The following is a 20,485-nucleotide window of genomic DNA, read 5'->3' on the forward strand; positions in this document are numbered from 1 at the left end:
CTTGTATTTATATCATTTTCTGAGTTTCTCTTGATTCCAATTTCTAGTTTAATTTTATTGTGGACTGAGAAGATACTTTATATTATTTATTATTATTTTATTTTAGTTCAGTTTAGTTTATTTTTTGAGACAGAGTTTCACTCTGTCACCCAGGCTGGAGTGCAGTGGTGTGATCTCAGCTCACTGCAACCTCCACCTCCTGGGTTCAAGCCATTCTCCTGCCTCAGCCTTCTGTGTAGCTGGGATTACAGGTGCACACCACCATCCCCGGCTAATTTTTGTATTTTTAGTAGAGACGGGGTTTTACCATGCTGGTCAGGCTGGTCTCAAACTCCTGACATTGTGATCCACCCACCTCAGCCTCCCAGAGTGCTGGGATTACAGGCATGAGCCACCACACCCAGCCTATATTATTTCATTTAAATATATATATATTTGAAACTTGTTTTGTGGCCTAACATGTGTTCTGTCCTGGAGATGGTTTCAATTGCTGATTAAAAGAATGTATATACTACAGTTGTTGGATACAGTGTTCTATAAGTGTCTGTTAGGATCATTTGGTCTAAACTCCAATTTAAACCCAATGTTTCTTTTCTGATTTTCTTTCTAGAGGGTCTATCTAATGCTGAGAGTAGGATGTTGAATTCTCTCACTATTATGGTATTGCAGTCAATCTCTTAATTGAGATATAGCAATAAATGCTTTATGAATCTAAGTGCTCTGGTGTTAGGCACATATATATTTAGAATTCTTATATCCTTTTCTTAGATTAATCAATTTATCATTATATAATTGACCTTCTTTGTCATTTTTACTGTTCTTGACTTAAAGTGTGTTTTATCTGATACAAATATAGCTACTTCTGCTCACTTTTCATTTCTGTTTGCATAGAATATTTTTTTCCTCCCTTTATTTTCAGTTTATATGTGTCTTTACTGGTCAGATGAGTTTCTCATTAGCAGCATATACTTCAATCATATTTTTTAACATCCATTTACTCATTCTATATCTCTTAAAAGGAGAATTTAATCCATTTGTACTTAAGGTTATTGTTGATATGTCAGGCTTTGTTCCTGTCACATTGTTGTTTTCTGGTTGCTGTATATATTCTTTGTTTCTCTCTTTTTCTCTTATAGTTTGTCATTGTGGTTTGGTGGATTTCTGTAATGGTACCATTTGAGTCCTTTCTCATTCTCCTTTGTATAATTGCTTTACTGGTGAGTTTTATAATTTCATGTGTTTTTTCCTTATTGTAAATATTGTCCTTTCACTTTCAGGTTTAGGACTGCCTTGATTTCTTGTAGGACTGGTCCCATGGTAACAAATTCTCACAGCCTCTGTTTGCCTAGAAATTACTTTATTTCTTCATCATTTATGAAGGAAAATTTTGCTAACTATAATGTACTGGGGTGGCAGTTTTCTTCTTCTGGCACTCTAAGTATATTATCCCATTATCTTCTGGTCTTTAAGGTTTCAGCTGAGAAATCCACTGTTAGTCTGATGGGGTTTTCTTTATAGGGGACTAAATGCTTTCTCTTACTGTTTTTAGTATTTGTTGTTTAACATTGATTTTAGATAATCTGATTATAATGTGCTGTGGAGAAAACCTTTTGGTGTTGTATCTTCCTGGGGATCGTTGAGCCTCTTGTATATGAATGAGCAAATCTCTTGCTAAAGTTGGGTAGTTTTTATTTATTATTATGTTAAATAGGTTTTCTAATAATTTCTTTGTTTTTTTGCCCTGCAGTATACCAATAATTCATAAGTTCAGTCACTTTATGTCATCCCAAAAGTCATTCTTTTTTGTTTTTATTTATTTTTGTCTTACTAGATAATTTGAAAAGACCTGAGAATATTCCTTCTGCCTGATCTCGTGTATTGTTGAAATTGTCAAATGTATTTTGTATTTCCTTTAATGACTTCTCCAGTTCTAGAACTTCTATTTGGTTCTTTAAAAAAAAATCTATCCTTTTGGTAAGTTTCTCATTTATATCCTGAATCATTTTTCTGATTTTTTGTTTTTGAATTTGATTGTATCTCACTGAGCTTCTTTAAAATTAACATTTTGAATTATTTAGCTGAGATTTCAAAAATTTCTTTTTGATTTTGATCTATTACTAGAGATTTATTGTGTTCCTTTGGAGGTGTCATATTTCCTTGCTTTTTCATGATTGCTGTGTATTTAGAAGATATCTGTTTATCTGGTGTAACAGTCACTTCCTCCTATTTTTGAACTTCCTTTTATAGGGGAGAACATTTTCCTGCAGATGTATCTATGGTTTTGGTTGGATAGGGTACTTTGGCTTTGATTCTGGGTGCATGCAGTAGTGTAGTCTCTGTATAATTTCTTTGGCTATAAAAAGCTTTAATGATATCTACTATTTCCTGGGTGGGTGAGGCTATGGTAATTAGCAGAAACTGTGGTGAAATTGTGCTAAGAGACTAGGATTGCAGGTTGGCCAGTCTTTAGAACCCAGTGGGAGCATTGGTGGACTGACCATGCCTACCTTTGTGCCCCAGGAAAGTGCATGCTACGACTTGTGTTGGCAGTTATTGGTGAGTTGATTCTTGGCCCTCTAGGTGGTTTGCTCAGATGCCAATAGTGGCAGTGGTGGATCAGGTGGCTGGGAGGGTTGTCAGGCCTCTGGGTGATGGGTGATGGCAGTAGCAATGGTGAGATGATTCTCTTGGTCTCAAGCAGTGTGCATTAACATTGGCAGTAGCTGTGATCGGCTGGGCAGCCCAGTCTTCAGGCCCATAGGTGGCTCTTACAGCTGAGGTGTTAGTGGTAGGAGTTTAGACACAAACTCTGATCCCCAGGAAGTGTGCTCAGGTGCCCAAGGTAGAGAATTATGTTGGGCAATCCCCAAGACCCTGGACTATGTGCTCGGTCTCAAAGGAAAGGGCAAAGATGGTCCAGGTGGGCTAGTACTCAAGCCCCACAATGGTGAAAGTAGGAATCATTCATGGTGTGTGGGAGTGGGGCAGTCCTTAAACCCCAGGTGGGGTTTTCAAGTGAGGGATGGCAGCATCCATGGTGAAGAGGTGTTTCTCATTGAGATAATGGAAGAATGAACATGTATTTATCATTGAGATAATGGAAGAATGACCCTGAGGGCATTTTGGAGATTATCAGGGTGGCCCCTTCCATCACAAGCACAGGAAGTCAGGGTTTAAGGGACAAAATGATTTCAAAAGAGGGCCCAGAGGCACTTGAGGGACTTTAGCACACACTACCCAATGCTGTCTCAAGACTCTGATCCCCACATTTTGACACAGCACTACTCACCTACCCCAGGTTTTGCTCCAACTGGCCCACATACAGCAGCAACATCAGTGGCCACTTCTCTGATGGCACACAGAGTACATTAGCCACAGGGATGTAGCTACCTTCACCTACATTTCCAAGGATAGAGGCACCAGAAGCCTTGGGTGCATAGCCACCATGAGAGCAGAGCTACCACAGAAAGACCCCACTAGTGCAATGCTGATGGAGCCATGAGAATGAGGCCACCCCTGAGACTCCAAACCAACAGAGGATCCTAGTGTGTGATTCCAGTCTGAGAGAGCTACAGGCGGGTGACTCCAACACATGAGAGCTGCCATGGGGGAATATTGTTAGATCAATTTCTAATATACCAAATAATTTTATGAATAAAGAACTCATTATATTTATAGAAATATAAGCTAACAAATTGTAGACTATCTTACATATGAAAACCTTTTGGAGGCTTAGGGAGAAAATGCCAAAACATTTTATCTTATTTGCATCCTAGAAAAAAATGTCTAAATTGTCTGCTCAAATTTCCCAAATCAAAATAAATAATAAATTCTTGCAAAATATAGTGACCTACTTCACCAGTGTAAACCAAAATAGAATTATAAATCCCTCAACCAACTAAAGAACCCTCCCCTTAGCCAAGAGCATTCCAAAGTTAACCTGAAAAATTAGTTGAGGCCATGATGGGAAGTAGGGGTCGAACATGCATTATTATGCCCTCCTCCCTTTGGAATTTAGAAACGGCTGACCAGCATTAACATTAAAACAGGAACCTTAAGACTGATAGAACAGACTCTTTAAGTCTGATAGGAAACATTTACAAGCTATTCTCTCTGAAGCCTGCTACCTGGCGGCTTCATCTGCATGATAAAACCTTGGTTTCCACAACTCCTTATCTTAATTCAGACATTCCTCTCTATTGATTCCAGGTCTTTAGATAGTAACTCTTTCAACCAATTATCATTCAGAAAATCTTTGAATCCACCTATGACCTGGTAACCCCCGCTTCCAGTTGTCCCACCTTTCCAGACAAAACCCATGTACATCTTACATGTATTAATTGATGCCTTATGTCTCCCTAAAATGTGTAAAACCAAGCTGTCGCCCAACTGCCTTGGGCGCATGTTCTCAGGACCTGTTGGGATCTGTGTCATGGGCCATTGGTCACTCATATTTGGCTCAGAATAAATAATCTTTAAGTGTTTCATGGAGTTTAAGTCTTTTCATCAACACCAGGTTGTTTAAATAAATTAATAAATGGTTAAATACTGATAAAAATATAAATTACTTTAGAATATCACATAGTAATAAAAAGCCACCAATAAGATGAAGATAGAATTAAATAGAAAAAATCACTTCTGCAATCAGAATAAAGACAGGCTTAAAAAGGAAACACAGATTTCTATCTTCAGTATATAAATTATGGTACATCACTGGATATATGCTCAAACTGAAATCAAATCAATCTTATCATAACATTTCTTTAAAAAGGCCCTTAAGACGTAGGAGCAAGAAAGATCCCTTTCTTGTGGTTTTTGAATTAATGATATCTTTAATTTACACTTCTCAAAGCTGCTTATTTTTTCATATAGAACAGCCTTAAAGTTTTTGGTTCCAAAAGGAAAATCAATTATATCTTCAGAAACTCACTTCTTTGTGATTAAAAAAAAAAAATTCTTCGTGCATTAGAAAAAGTAATAAACTCTCTTATTTCCCATGAACAAGGAAAGTATTTCTTAATTCCTTCTCCATAGCCTCTTCTCCTCTAGTCCTAAGATATGTAGATTTTTTTTACTTTGTTTACTCAACCTTAATCAAAAAGTTAAAACTTTGTTATCTGTTATAAAATATTTTGAATGCATCTTCATGCAAAACTCCTTATCCTGAATCAGTTAGTTAACCCATAGTGTTCTGTAAGTCACTGATAAGTTGTTATTTTTTTCTTTCTTTTTTTTAAAAAAAAACGACAAGGTCTCACTGTCCCAGGTTGGAGTGCTGTGGCATGATTACGGCTCACCATAACCTTGAACTCCGGGGCTCAATGATCCTCCTGCCTCAGCCTCCTAAGAAGCTAGGACAGCAAGTGTGTGCCACCATGCCTGGCTAGTTTTTTTGTTTGTTTGTTTGTTTGTTTTTATGTTTTGTAGTGATATGTTCCTGCCATGTTACCCCTGGTCTTGAACTCCTAAACTCAAACAATCCTCCTGTCTCAGCCACCCAAAGTGCTGAGACTACAGGTGTGAGCCACTGTGACCAGCCAGTTGTTATTTCTATTAAAATAATAATGACATAGATTTAAGACTGGTTCTGGTGATTATTTGTTAATATGGCTACTCTAGCGGCCAAGGGAAAGCTTTCTCTTCATCCTCTGAAGTTTCACTGAAAAAAAAAAAATCTCACAAAAGGCAGATTAATAGGAGAAATGACATACAAATTAATTATTATGCATAGAAAGAACCTCAGAGTGATTACTCCATCCCCCAATGGAGTACAGAAGCGTGTATACCACCTTGAGGTTATAGAAAGAATAGGGGCTTGGATCTTGGCCAAAACCAGGTTATGGAAGTAAGTCAGGTTATAGTAATAGTAACAAAACAGGTTATAAGAGAGAGAAACGAGGAGGCATGGCTAGCAAAGGAGTCTTCTTAAATAGATGAAACCTCACAAGTAGCAGCCTTCAGAGAGAAGAGATGGTAAATATTTATTTCAGACCTTTAAGGTGCCAGTCTTTCAATTAATCTTTCCTAAATCTGGACAAGGGAGAGTCTCAGAGAAAACCCAATTGCATCAATGCCATATTCTCTTTTTTTTTTTTTTTTTTTTTTTTTTTTTTTTTTTTTTTTGAGATGGAGCTTCGCTCTTGCCACCCAGGCTGGAGTGCAATGGCGCGATCTCGGCTCACTGCAACCTCTGCCTCCCAGGTTCAAGTGATTCTCCTACCTCAGCCTCCCGAGTAGCTGGGATTACAGGCACACACCACCATGCCCAGCTAATTTTTGTATTTTCGGTAGAAATGGGGTTTCACCATGTTGTCCAGGCTAGTCTCAATCTCTTGACCTTGTGATCTGCCCGCCTCAGCCTCCCAGAGTGCTGGGATTACAGGCGTGAGCCACTGCACCTGGCCCAGATTCTCTTCAGATGCAAACATCCCTCACAAAAGACAGCTCTGCAGGATTACCTCTGTATGCTGGTTCTCTGAATAACCATCTCAAAATATGTCAAAGAACTATATTTTGGAATGAAATATTTTCATTTCCTTCATCATAGAAAAATTAGTCTTTTTCTAGAATCACAAATAACCAGAAGAACACATCTTAAATGTATTTAATAAATCAGCAACAGTCATACTCCAATAAACCTGAATCTGAAAGCAGCCAATTAACAACATTCTCTTCTGAGGTATCACATTTCTAAATCTGGCATTAGCCCACTCCTACCTTTGAAAATTTACCATTCCCTCCACACCATGCATCCCCCAAAGTCCTGTGTAAGATCAATTATCTGCTTTGCTTGAGAAGACTTTGCTGGACTCTCATAACTATTGTTTACCTAAGTAAGCAATAAATTTAGCTTTGCATTTTATTTGCATTATTGGTTGGTGGGCTCATCCATTTATATAATTATAGTTTTATTTGGTTTCTTTGTTTGTTTGTTTTTTTGAGATGAAGTCTTGCCCTTTCACCCAGGCTGGAGTGCAGTGGCACAATCTCAGCTTACTGCAACCTCCACCTCCCGGGTTCAAGCGATTCTCCTGCCTCAGCCTCTTGAGTAGCTGGGATTACAGGCACCTGCCACCATGCCCAGCTAATTTTTGTATTTTTAGTATTCACCATGTTGTCCAGACTGGTCTCGAACTCATGACCTCAGGTGATCCACTCACCTGGGCCTCCCAAAGTGCTGGGATTATAGGTGTGAAACACTGCACCTGGCCAATATGACTATGTTTTATTTTGTTTTGTTTGAGATGGAGTATCATTCTGTCACTCAGGCTGGAGTGCAGTGGCACAATCTCAGCTCACTGCAACCTCCACCTCCTGGGTTCAAGCAATTCTCCCGCCTCAGCCTCCTGAGTAGCTGGGACTACAGGTGCATGTCACCACACCTGGCTAATTTTTTTATTTTTAGTAGCAATGGGGTTTCACCATGTTAGCCAGGATGGTCTCGATCTCCTGACCTTGTGACCTGCCTGCCTCGGCCTCCCAAAGTGCTGGGATTACAGGCGTGAGCTACCATGCCCGGCCATGATTATGTTTTAACAAGTGTACTTACCTAGAAAAATAACTTTGACTCTGGTCCTTTTTTTCACAATTTTCTTCAATACAATCTGGATATTTTTGGCAGTATTACCTTTACTATCCTTTGCCATATTTCTTTTTCTTGAAGAATACATAATGATCCTCTCATATTTCTATCATCGGTAAAACTTCTTTTGACATTCGTGTCTCCATATAGGCTAGTTTCTATACACACAACTTGTCAGATCAACCAATGCCGATAGGAGCTTCCAATTAGTATTTCACTTTTATGAAATTTCTTCACTGTCTTCCTGGTCAAAATTCATTTGCCCTTGGAGAATCACTATCAAGGAAAAAAAAAAACACATTCTGAAATATTTTTAACTCATTTTAAAAATTGAATTGAACGTTTATTCAACTAAATTGAATACAGTAACTTAATTGAACGTCATACAGTATATTTAAAATATTTTACATTAGCCAAAATTTGCAGGATTTTATTTTTGAAATGGAAATGAGGAGGGAAAAATCAGATTTTATCATCAAATTCTGCTTAACTTCACACTCTTTGAAATGAATCTCAACTATTTCTCTGAAAATAAAGCCTTTATAAGTGTGACTATGTTCTCCATGGTACAGGTAATATTGAACAATTAAAAAAATAGAATGATAAAATGAATAGATCAATTTATTCACTTATATACTAGAAAAAATAAAATTGACATTTTCCCTATTGTTGCCCATAGACCTAGGCAAAAGGAAATCCTTGGTCAGGGTCATAAGTTTTTAAGAGTCTCACATATCATAAATATCATTTATTAAAAAACATATGGGTTCTGACTCTCAGAATTCAACACTCAGTGCTGATAGCCGAATCTATAACCCTAAACATCAGCATCAACTCTTACGCCTAACAATTGTTCAGGCCCCAAGAGAAAGCTTTGAAACATTTCTTGCCTATGTCCTCCAAAACAAAAGATGATTGCATCCAGTCGCCAGGAAAGTCTGTGAATTCTATAGCTTCCCTATCTGACACAAACACAGCTTGAGAAGGAGGAAGATATGAATGGCAGAGGTGCTTAAATAGGAGAAAAACCGATATAATTACCTAGTCAATTCCTTCCTGTCAGCATGAACACAATACATTCTCACAGAGCAAAAAATTTCCCATTAGTACATAAACCCTAACAGTCATAGAAGGTAGACATGACAAATTTACTATATTACACAATTCTCATTACTAGGTCTAGACTTATCATATGAATACTTCACTTTCATGTAGTATGTAAAAGAACATTATTTTATTAAATGTTTAATAGGATTTAACTAAATGTTTGAGAATATTAAATTAAAATGTTCAGTTTAATACAATTATTTGAATTAATTTTTGAAATTATTATTTAGAAGTTATATTTTGCATTTTAATTTCAAGATAAAACTTTTTGGAAAATAAGTTTTAGTTATTTTTACATTACTATACTTTGGTGAAAATGTATTTAATTTCTTATACTGGGAAAGCAATTACAGTCTTTTAGATGATTGAAAGTAACTTCACGTTTACATCATAGTATACATAAACGTGAAGAGCCAAAGAAGTTGAAAACAATAAAAAAACTCTTTAGAATGGTAGCTTGTTTATTTTTATTTAAGTGAAAAAAAAGAAAGAAACTAGATTTTACTTAAACATGACCAACCTAAGTTTAGCATACAGGATACTACAAATGATTAATTTAATGAAGATTTATTTTTTAATCAAAATAATGAAAATGAGAAAAAAAAAGTATCACCTCAAATTCAGAACTTGAACAGTTCAGATGAAAATCCTGCAATTTCACTTAATCATTCTTGATTAAAAGAACATTAAATGTGTCACTTGCATACAAAAAGGAGCAGGTGCATTTATTAGAACTGAAAGAAAACTGAATAAACAGCAACATATAGTGTTTAACAGTGATAAGAAAATGCCTATAGAGAATATCAGTTTGAAGTTATTTAAATAATAAAATTTGTTCATTTTTGCCAAGTGTGACATTGATTTTGTATACAATGTTTACAGAAAACAACAAAAAATATTTAGATTTAGTAAAAATGATCTCAAAAAGTGATGTAACATTAAACATGTAAACCTGATATAAATAATAAAATTAATAATCGCTAGACATGAGGAACATTTCCTGTCCCAATGCAAAACCAAACACCACTGAGGGCCATTTAGCATCACTAGGATTCTTGGCTTTGGTTCCTAATAAATATGTTAAATATACTGGAGCAGGAAGAGCCGCAGACAAAACCCCTCAGTAACCGAGTTAAAGAAGGACAGAGTTTATTCGGCTAGGAGCATCAGCAAGACTCCTGTCTCAAGAGCCGAGCTCTCTGAGTGCACAATTCCTGTCCCTTTTAAGGACTCACAACTCTAAGCAGTTTGATCTTCAGTTACCAGGCCTGGAATGCAGTGCCAGGTTGTCTGGACTCTATTAACATAACCGGTTAGGTTAGATCTTCAGCTACCAGGCTTGAAATGCAGCGCAGGGCTGTCTGACTGATTTTATTTCTTGTCTTTTCTTTAACTCCTACTTTTTCTTTGAGGCAGAAATTGAGCATAGGGCAATATGGGGGGTGGTCTCCTTCCTTATTCCCCACTTTGAGACTCTCACTTATTTTATTAGTGGGAGTTCTCATCTGTATCCTCACTACCTGCGTCTTCCTGTATGACAGATCGATAGTGATTCATGTAGTACACTTGTGCTGAAGCATTCTGGTGAACTAGAGTAGTGTTGAAACCTTTCACCTATTTGAATGAGTACAGGTAGTAAACAAGGGATCAGTAAGCAGGTTCCTATTACTACTATAATTCCTATTATAAGACTTTTAAATCCTCCTAGCACTGGGAAACATTTTCGAACAAGGCCTCAGGGTCAAATCCGTGTCATACTTGTACAGGCACATGTGCCAGTTTCATGAAGTCTTTAACTAGATCTTCGACTACTTGCCCCTGGTCATCTACCTGCAGGCAGCAATTGGTAAGGTTAAATTTTCCACAGACTTCTCCTTCAGTTGCTAGCAAGTAGTCGAGAGTTAATCTATTTTGATAGATAGCATTTCTCATCTGAGTTTCTTGCCAGGCCAGAACAGTCAAGGCTTTACCAACGATCTCCAAGACAGCTTGCCACAATATGATTCGGTTGAGCATGTAATTGGGGGTCCGGTATCCCCATGAGCCATCTTGTGCCCAAGTGGCAGGCCCATAGTATTGTATAATTTTTTCAGGAGGTCATTCATCATCTTTTCAATTACCTATGGCTATGTTTCACTTTTCGCAGGAAGCATAGAGAGGGAAGCCCAGGAGTTCACCTGTTTTTATGGGCAGTAGGAAGAAAGATGGTTTAATAGTGCCAGTAACACAACTTCCTGTCCACTCATCAGGCAGCTTAGTGTAGGCTCTACGTCCACATATCCAGTATAGCCCAGTGGGGGCCGTTCAGTCCCAGTGGGATTCTGGGTGGGCCCAAACGGTCTGCAACTTTGGAAATTTATTGAATGGATTTTTGTCTGTGTGGTTTGAACTCCACCGTGTAACTGTTTTTGTGGTACCATTATACAGTTTTTGTCCCAGGCAACTAAGTCGTCCTACAGAATGAGTGAATTCTTTTCCTTCTCTAGCTATACAATAGTGTCCAATAATTGAGACTTTTAGAACACAGAAATGATCAGGGTGATTCTTTTGGGCTGGGAATTCATCAAGAACTGGGTCTATAGGCACTAATTCTCAGGCTTCCCATGGCCATTGACCTTCCATTACAGTTCCTCCACAAACATAACTTGAAGTGACATTTAGAGACTGGGCTACATGCTCGGCTAACTGCAAAAACAAATTTCTTGTTTTTCCTGGAATTTCTGGTACTGGCACATTCAGTTTATCATAGAAGGTTTGAAATACTGGCTCAGGAGAGCATTTATAAACTTCTCAAACCATGATATTTACTCGAGGATTCAGTCCAGCCCTATCGATTCCTAGGGTTACACATTCCCTTTTTTTCCAGCGAGGATCAAGGGGGTTGGTTATTACTCATTCTAAGGGGTTACACTGACCACTGGTACAAGAAGGGCCACTTTTCCCTTTCTGAAGGTGACAGGATCCTTTTTACTTTTTTATCTAAGTAGCCTAAATGACACAAGACCAGCATCCACATTCATTTCTACACAGTCTTAATTCATGACAAATGTGCTTATTTTCTGCCATATAGCCTCTTTCCTAATTAAGAGAAGCACATCCTATTTCTAACTTATTACTATTAATGACAGCACAGGCATCAAATTTTAAGATGACTTGTTTGGGCACCCCTTTTTCTTTTGTTTTGGCTAACACTTTACTCATATCATTTATGAGCCTCTACGAGTCCTCAGTCCTTAATCTTATTTCAAAAACTGTGGTCATGGGAGGCTCAGATGGGTCATAACACACATCAGGTTGGTCATTGCTTGGGCAACATACCTTGCATAGAATAGCATTATACAAACAATTTTTTTTAGAGTCCCGGTACCCTTATAATAATCATAAAATAATAGGACTGTAGCAACTTTTTGTCCCACCTCAGTGACTTGATGTATACACTGGGAACAGTCCTCAATCTGAGGGAGGTCAGTTGAAGTCCTTACTATACGAGTCCAAATTTTAAGGAAAATGAGTCCCGCGATGAGTTTCCTCATGCTTCGGCCATGCATGGACCAGTCAGCTTCCGGGTGTGACTGGAGCAGGGCTTGTCATCTTCTTCAGAGTCATTTTGCAAGGGTTGGCAAAGCTGCTCCCATCCACATACAGCTCCTAGTCTACTGATGTTTAAGGATGGTCTTGGAGGTTGGGCCCACCAGACTAAAATGAGTCCAATACCTCTATACAGTTATGTTCAACTGGGCTCTCTGATACCGGGAGCAAGGTGGCGGGGTTTAGGGTATTGCAAACTTCAATGGTTACGCAGGGATTTTCACAGAGCAAGCTTTGGTATCCAGTTAGTCTGGCATTCGTTAGCTAATGATGTCTTTTGGTATTTATTAAAGTCACCACAGCATAGGGGGACTTTATGTTTAGGTTTTGCCCAAGTGTTAGCTTATCTGCTTCTTGTGCTAATGGGGTCATTGCTGCCAGGGCCCTTAGACATGGGGGCCAGCCTTTGGAAACCACGTCTAGTTGTTTTGAGAGATAGGCCACTGGCCTTGGCCAGGGCCCCACAGTGTGGGTTAAAACTCCAACTGCCATTTTTCTTCTTTCTGACACATAGGGTGTAAAGGGTTTTGTCAGGTCAGGTAGCCTCAGGGCTGGGGCCAACATGAGTTTTTCTTTTAACTCATGAAAAGCTCTTTGCTGTTGGTTGTTACAGATGTAGTTTATCCAATTTACATTTTTATTAACTGACACCTACCAAAATATTGACTCAAATCCTGTAGCTATTTGATTTCAAGCTTTAAATTGATCCGGTATTCCCCGTGGGACTCCAATTGTGTCTAAATGGACGTGAGAGTCGAAAGACCCATAAAGGGCTTCTCTCACTTTATGAAGTCTTATTTTTCCTCCCTCTGGTTGATGAAATGCCAGGGTGAAAGAGATAGCCAGTTGGACTAAAGTACAAGTGCCACTCCAGTTATTCGGCAGAGTGCCCAGTAAAGGTCCACCAAAATACCACCACACATCTGCTTGGGGATGAACAAAGGCTGACTGACTGATAAGCTCTTGAAAATTTTTAAGCTCATGGCATCCTTTCAGGTCTCCAAGGAATGCTAAGTTTCCTCCCTGTCATGAGAGACACGAAGTGAACTTAGTATCGGAAGAGGGAGGCTGGATGGCCCTCGGGGGCTGACCCACAGGGTGCCGGACTTTGGGATATAGCAGAGAGAGCTTGGGGTGACTTATTACTCCAGGCTATAGAATCCTGGAAAAGAGCTACCATGCAGCCTATGCCTGGCCAACTAGAAGACCATCTTAATGGAAGGGGGACAATCTGGGCCTCTGGCCTGCCATGTGCACAAGCATAACAATTGCTTTTGTTTAACGTGCAGATGGAATATTTGATCCATTTTAACCAGGCATTTGCATCTTGGTATCCTGTCTTAATTGCTAAAGTTTGTTTTAAGTCTTTAACTTCTATCATCCTCTAGTAAAATGAATGTATGGTTTTAGGAAATTATAAAAACAGGTTGGGGCAGTCCATCCTTGCTCTTTAGTGGTCCATAGAATGTTGGACCAACTATGGCATGAAAGCTCTACATCGGGGGGCAAGACTCCTGGTTGGCACTGGGGTCTTTATCAAAATCTCCCCAGATTAAATGGTCCTAGTTTACTAATGCCCAGTCTGAGGAGAGTCAGGAGGGACAGAAGTACTTTTCTGAAGTAGAAAGCTGTCTCTGACTTGGCAAGTCCCCACAGGGTATAACAAGGCAAGCATTAAATGCAATAGTTTGAGGCAAAATTGACTTGGTTGTGTTAATAACCAGATGGTCAGCAATAGAACGAAGAAAGAAGAAAGAGTAATAGAATAGATGAAAGGGTTAAATTTTTCTTAGCTTTAGTTTGGTAGGATTTTCCCCTGGGACTGTGGCCCATGACTCTGGAGGGTGTGGCACTTTGACTCAGATGTGATGAGTCCATCCCTTTTCCACTGTAGGAACAGCAGTCTCGGTGGTTAGCAGCACAAGGTAGGGTCCTTCCTAGGCCGGCTTGAGTTTTTCTTCTTTCTACACTTTGATAAGAAGGTGATCTTCAGGCTGGTGCTGGTTTACTGGAAATTCTAGGTGTGGTACATGTGCTAAAAGACTTTTAGTTTTAAGGGAAAGGAAAGTGGAAGATAAACCAAGTATATAATTTCTAAGAAATTGACTTTTTGTTTTAAATGTGGGGACATCAGCAGCGGACCTTATAGTCTTTGGTGCCTTCTTACTGAGAAATTTCCATTAGCACCTATTTTTATTAGATTTTAGACCAAAGAAAGCCAAACACCATTTTATATTTAATAATGCTTCTTGTATGATTTTTATACCAGATAAGTTAAATTTCACCTTTACATTAATGTGCTATTAATGTTAAACTTAGTTTTAATAAAACTTTGTATACATATTTACTCAATTTTTAATGTTTGACCATAAGATAAGATTTTATAGACTCTTTTTAACCTTATATAATTTTTGCTAAAGAGCAGGTTGGTGCTTTAAGAAAAACCTGTTATGCTTTTATTTTAATGTCCAGTTTACAGAAAAACTGGATGATACCTCTTTAACTTTAACCAATGTTTACACACAGAATTTTCTTTCCAATTAACATTCTAGTAACTTTTAAATTATACAACATTTCTTGCATAAATTCTTTCTTTATAACATTTTTCTCTTTCACAACTTTCACAGACAATTCTTCGACACATCTCAACTTTCTGACTTATTACAAACGTTTCTTTCTTTAAACAACCAGTTAATTTATTTCAGGACAAGAATTTACCATATACCACTCTTTTTACATAAATTCTGCCCCCCATTTTCTCCCCCTCTTTTTTTTTTCGAAGATGATAACCACTCTTTTCCAAAGCAAACTTCTTTTATGTCTGTGGACTAGACTGTCTTAAGGCCACAAGATTAGAAGTTACTATAATACATGTTACACTGTTAACTTTTAGCAAAATTTACTTTTGTTGAAAACCTTGTAAGTTTGGGATTTTAATTATCCTTTGCTATTAATAAGACCTTGTTTTGTCTAAATTAACTTAGAATTGGTATAGATGGCCTTTTTTTTTTCTTCAATTACCTGGGAGGAAACATCGATCGTCCTGTCCTGAAGGGAGTTCCTTCTAGGTCTGGCCAGGTCTTTTTATGGTAATTAAGATTTAAATCCCTTGTTAGGAAACCTGCTGGGTTAAGGGGATTTTCTTTTTTTTCTAAAAGAATAGCCCCATACTTTAAGATTTTTGAGTTAGTAAGCTACTTTTTTGCTTTTTTGATTTAGGGTAGTTCTGAACTGAACTAGTGAGGTGTGCTCAAAGTGAGGTTTCCTCCAAAAGTTATTTTTCTACTATCTTCTGTTAGCAAAGCAGTTGCCGCTACAGGTTGAATGTATTTGGGCCATCCATGGATTACTGAGTTAAGGATTTCTGATAGAAGGCTACAGGTTGTCAGTGGCCTCATTTGGCCCCTCTCTGCCTCTGTGCCCCTCTCTGCCTCTCTCTCTCTCTCTGCCTCTCTTTCTCTTCTCTCTGCCTCTCTCTCTCTCTCTGCCTCTCTCTCCTCTGTCTCTCTCTCCTTTCTGTCTCTCTCTCTCTCTCCTGTGTCTCTCTCTCTCTCCCCTCTGCCTCTCTCTACCTTCTGCCTCTCTCTCTCTCTGTCTCTCTCTCCTCTTTGCCTCTCTCTCTCCCCTGTCTCTCTCTCTCTCCCCTCTGCCTCTCTCTACCCTCTGCCTCTCTCTCTCTCTCTGTCTCTCTCTCCTCTTTGCCTCTCTCTCTCCCCTCTGTCTCTCTCTCCCCTCTGTCTCTCTCTCTCTCCCCTCTGTCTCTCTCTCCCCTCTGCCTATCTCTCTCTTTCTCTCTGTCTCCCTCTCTCTCCTCTTTGCCTCTCTCTCTCCTCTCTGCCTCTCTCTCTCCTCTCTGCCTCTCTCAGCCACTTATGCTGCAGTTCTTTCAACCACTGTGGAGGGATCTAAAACCATCTGTAACCAAGCATCTATGTACGGAAACTGGTCTGGGTGCCCTGGCTTTACAGGTTACCTTGTGCCATACCTTTGAAACAAGGGACCTGTCCAGGCTTTCTTCTGATGGTCAACCCACCTCTAATGCTGGCCAGTCTATTTTACATAAAGTTCTAAGTTTTCCTGGTGTCATAGTAACTCCATAGCCCTTAAATCCGTTTTTGAAATTTTTCAACATAGTTCCTAGTGGGGTAGGCTTTCTTTGTGCCTCACCCATGTTTCCTCGAGACAAAACACCACACTCACACCACACGCACACCACAAAACAAAGAACGGGTAAAAATGCCACACACACACACACACTTTTACAGTTACACCAAACCAGAATCAAAACCAGAATCCGAGTATCAAGAAATCCAAGCCAGGTCAAAACCAAAACCAAACTATCAAGCAATCCAAGTCAAGTCAAAAACAAAAACCAAAGTGCTGGCACTGGCACATCGTGGGTGATCAGGTCATGCTTCCACTCAAATGGACTGGGCAAGTTCCCAAGACCAGTCTTACCACGTTTTAGATGTCCGGACTCCAAGTGCCAGTTCCTTCCTGGTGTTCAGCCACTGTGTTGATCCTCCACGGGGGCCTGCCACACACTGCTCTGGCGAGGCATCCCACCAGGGCAAATGCCTACCCGGGAGTCCTCTCAGGATCCACATTGCTCGGGCTGGTCAGAGTCCCCCTCAGGGTTGTTCCACAGGGCAAGCTTAAGCCACCTAAGGAGCTGCCTTAACCATCCGCCAATCACCTCACTTCCCAGTCAGAGAACCAAGAAATGTAGCATGAAGAGCCTCAGAAAAAAACCCTCAGACACCGAGTTAAAGAAGGAAGGGGTTTATTCAGCCAGGAGCATCAGCAAGACTCCTGTCTCAAGAGCCAAGCTCCCCAAGTGCACAATTCCTGTCCCTTTTAAAGGCTCACAACTCTAAGGGGGTTGATCTTCAGTTACCAGGCCTGGAATGCAGTGCCAGGCTGTCTGGAATCTATTAACATAACCAGTTAGGTTAGATCTTCAGCTACTGGGCTTGGAATGCAGCACAGGGCTGTCTGACTGATTTTATTTCTTGTCTTTTCTTTAACTCCTACTTTTTCTTTGAGGCAGAAATTGGGCATAGGGCAATATGGGGGTGGTTTCCTTCCTTACTACCACTAATTATTTCTGGTTTTGCCTTTCCAATCCACCAAAGTCAAATTATCTAAGCTGGACTACTCACAGACATCCTCCTATGAACTTCACTGTTTTCACTACACAGAGGAGAAGCACAGGTAACTTCAGGTCTGCATCCCTGAAAATTTTCTCCCTACTGTCCTTCCCAAGGAATTCCAAGTGATCCTTGATATAAGTGCCCTGGTAGAGTTCACTGATCCCAGAAGGCCCACCCCTGGCAGGCCACTGTTTCTGAAATTGCACAGGTTTCTATAGGTAAAGTATAACATAAGCAGCAGAGCCCCCCTATAATCCTGTCCTCCAGAACCACCTTGTAGAGTACAACTCCTAGGAGAAAGTCCCTTTGGTATTTGACTTACTGTAGGTACCTTTAAATGAGGTCCAAGCTACCTGGCCATGAAGAATTCTGGTTTATCTTGTAGCAAGGGTGCATCTGCCTGTGCTTGTGCTTAAAAATACACAGCTTGAATCTCAGCCATGAAAAAATAGGTGAATTTGCTCTATTCTACTTTTTGAGCATCTGTTAGCATCAGCAGGTAGAAGAGGCCATTTTAAATCACAGGTTCAGTAAAATGGTGAGAAGCCAACAGGCATCTCAAGACACACTTAAAAGTGTTTTCTCAGCTTTTGCCTATTAGTAACCAAATTTTCTGAGCCTAGAATGTCCATGGAAGAGAGGGCCAGTGAATCAAAATTCTCTCATCCCTTCTATAACTTCTACTATTTAAAATGCTGCAAATCAACATTATTCACAACAGCTAAAACTTGGAAGCAGCCCAAATGCTCACTGATGGATGGATGGATGGGTGGGTGGATGGATAGATGGATATGCAAAATGTGGTCCATTCATACAATGACATATTATTCAGCCTTAAGAAGGAAGAAAATTCTGACAGATGCCACAACATGGATGAACCTTGAGAGCATAATCTGCAGTGAAATAACTGAACCCTTTACCATTAAGTAATGCCCATCTTTGTCTTTTTTTAATCTTTGTTGGTTTAAATTCTATTTTGCCTGAAATCAGAATAGCAACTCCTGCTGTGTTTTGTTTTCAAATTGCTTGGTAGATTTTTCTCCATCTCTTTACTGTGAGCTTATGGGTGTCATTGCATACGAGATGGTTTCTTGAAAACAGCATACTATTAGGTCTTGCTTCTTTATCCAGCTTGCCACTCTGTGCCTTTTAATTTGGGCATGTAGCCCATTTACATTCAAGATTAATACTGATATGTCCAGATTTGATCCTGTCGCAGTAAAAATATGGAATGCTTCATGAATTTTTGTGTCATCCTTGCACAGGAGCCATGTTAATCTTCTCAATATTGTTCCAGTTTTAGTACATGTGCTGCCAAAGTGAGCATGATATATGAATATTTTGCCTTTCAGAATTGCCCTGTGAGTCTTCCCTGTGAAAGAAAATGCTCTGTTGTAACTCCAAACTGGTTGGTTTTCTATCCTCCTGAAAGGGTTCTGATGATGATTTGATCACCATTTCTCTTACCCATACCAATAAGTCTATTGGAAATACTAGAGGAAGGCTCCATCTCCCACAGCTCTCTCATACAATATTTGTCAATACTTCTGGTCATCTTTCCCACACCCATGCTTATAGCTATATCTCTGATGCTCTATGGAGCCAATGCTGGCCTCGCAGAACCAGAAAAATTGGTCAAATTGCCTCAAGGCAGTTTCTCCAAGAATAAGAATTAGACTCAGCTCTTCAGAATGAAGTAGGAATTAGACCAGATTGTGGGGAGACCCTGTGAGGGACATTGTCAATTAGTATCTCCTGACTAATATAGGTCCCACATGGGGGATTCTTGAAATTGTAAACAACACTTTCTTTTCAAGAATCTATATCCACTCTTGGGATGGTACTTTTATGCCATTATTAACTTTAGCCCCTCCTGAAACTATGGTACAGTTGCCACTTTCTCATGGAAAGCCAAAATTCTACTGGGAGCAGGATAAATATGCCATTTCCACTTGACAAGAGAAGCTTGTTGAGTACACCTTGTCTTTTTAGCCATAGACTCTGTATCAGTCCATTTTCCCACTGCCATAAAGAGTATCTGAGTCTGGGTAATTTACAAAGGAAATAGGTTTAATTGACTCACAGTTCCACATGGCTGGGGAAGCCTCAGGAAATGTACAATCGTGGCAAAAGGCAAAGGGGATACTTTATTCCCCATTCCACTGCCAGAAGAAAAGCTGTTTACTCAACTGCCCAATGAGTCCTCATGTAGCTGAGATTTCCCAAAATACCTGACCTGATTTACTGGCACTGCTAAACTGAAAGCTGATGGTGTGCACAAGGCTTCTGCAGGTGTTCAACCTCACTGCCACCTGTTCCAAACTCAAAAGAGATGTGGTTGGTCAACTCAGTGAGCAGATCTGAAGCCATTCCCAGGATCAGTCAAATACTGCCCTTGATAAACCTTGCTATACTTTTACTGACTTTTGACCTGTTGCAAAAGGCTAGAGGTTTAACCAGCCACTTGAAAAACTATGGACTGTCAGATTAAAGACACATTTCTTTGGTGCCATGTAGTTTGAAAACAAATTCAGGCAGCTAATTGAACTATTGCAGCCATTTTTGTAGATGGCCATGCCAAGTGTACATTCTCTGATGAAACCAGCTGGAATTACACTGCTGATCAAGACTGCATTGTCCAGGTTGCCACAATCACTACATGGATTCACCACCTTACTAATTCATGACACATCCATGATCACAAGCTGAACATAAAGGAAAGAATTCTGTTCTTGAGGCAGAGGCCAACCAACACATGCCAGACTTGGGACTCTTGCCAAAAGTTGGGCCATTATCCAAAGATGGAAGAAACCAAATTGCATGGTACTTTGTCTCTGCCCAGTCCTTACAGAAACTATGGTGATGTGCAACTTAGGAGTGGTTATGAGGCTTTCAAGTGTTTTAAGGGAACTCAATCTTTAATTGATGTAACCTGTAAGTGATGACTGCGGAAATCTACTCAAAATGGTCACTCTCAATTCCTTAGGGGAACTTCCTGGGGAGATAACTGACCCATTATTCACAAGTATTATGTGGGAATTTTTACCTACAATGG

At 39.5% G+C, this 20,485-nt stretch overlaps 1 long non-coding RNA gene and 1 pseudogene across 1 annotated transcript in view, besides 2 other annotated features; both read right to left on the reverse strand.

The window, feature by feature from the left end:
• Positions 1-17,125, reverse strand: part of LOC105377198 (uncharacterized) — a 29,720-nt gene extending 12,595 nt beyond the window's left edge. Inside the window, exons 1-2 of the long non-coding RNA XR_941033.3 lie at positions 16,736-17,125; positions 7,550-7,858 (exon numbers count right to left, since the gene is read on the reverse strand). This is a non-coding gene — a long non-coding RNA (uncharacterized LOC105377198). The remainder of the gene's footprint in view (positions 1-7,549; positions 7,859-16,735) is intronic.
• Positions 2,547-3,538: an enhancer, noted in NCBI's record as "NANOG-H3K27ac-H3K4me1 hESC enhancer chr3:87775589-87776580 (GRCh37/hg19 assembly coordinates)". NCBI's record gives its function as "activates a minimal SCP1, AML or CMV promoter by ChIP-STARR-seq in primed H9 embryonic stem cells {active_cell/tissue: H9 hESC(primed)}" and the evidence as "EXISTENCE:reporter gene assay evidence [ECO:0000049][PMID:30033119]".
• Positions 3,539-4,530: an enhancer, noted in NCBI's record as "OCT4-NANOG-H3K27ac-H3K4me1 hESC enhancer chr3:87776581-87777572 (GRCh37/hg19 assembly coordinates)". NCBI's record gives its function as "activates a minimal SCP1, AML or CMV promoter by ChIP-STARR-seq in naive and primed H9 embryonic stem cells {active_cell/tissue: H9 hESC(naive and primed)}" and the evidence as "EXISTENCE:reporter gene assay evidence [ECO:0000049][PMID:30033119]".
• Positions 18,651-18,757, reverse strand: RNU6-873P (RNA, U6 small nuclear 873, pseudogene; annotated as a pseudogene).

The sequence above is a fragment of the Homo sapiens genome, chromosome 3 (assembly GCF_000001405.40).
Source record: "Homo sapiens chromosome 3, GRCh38.p14 Primary Assembly".
Taxonomy (NCBI): Eukaryota; Metazoa; Chordata; class Mammalia; order Primates; family Hominidae; genus Homo; species Homo sapiens.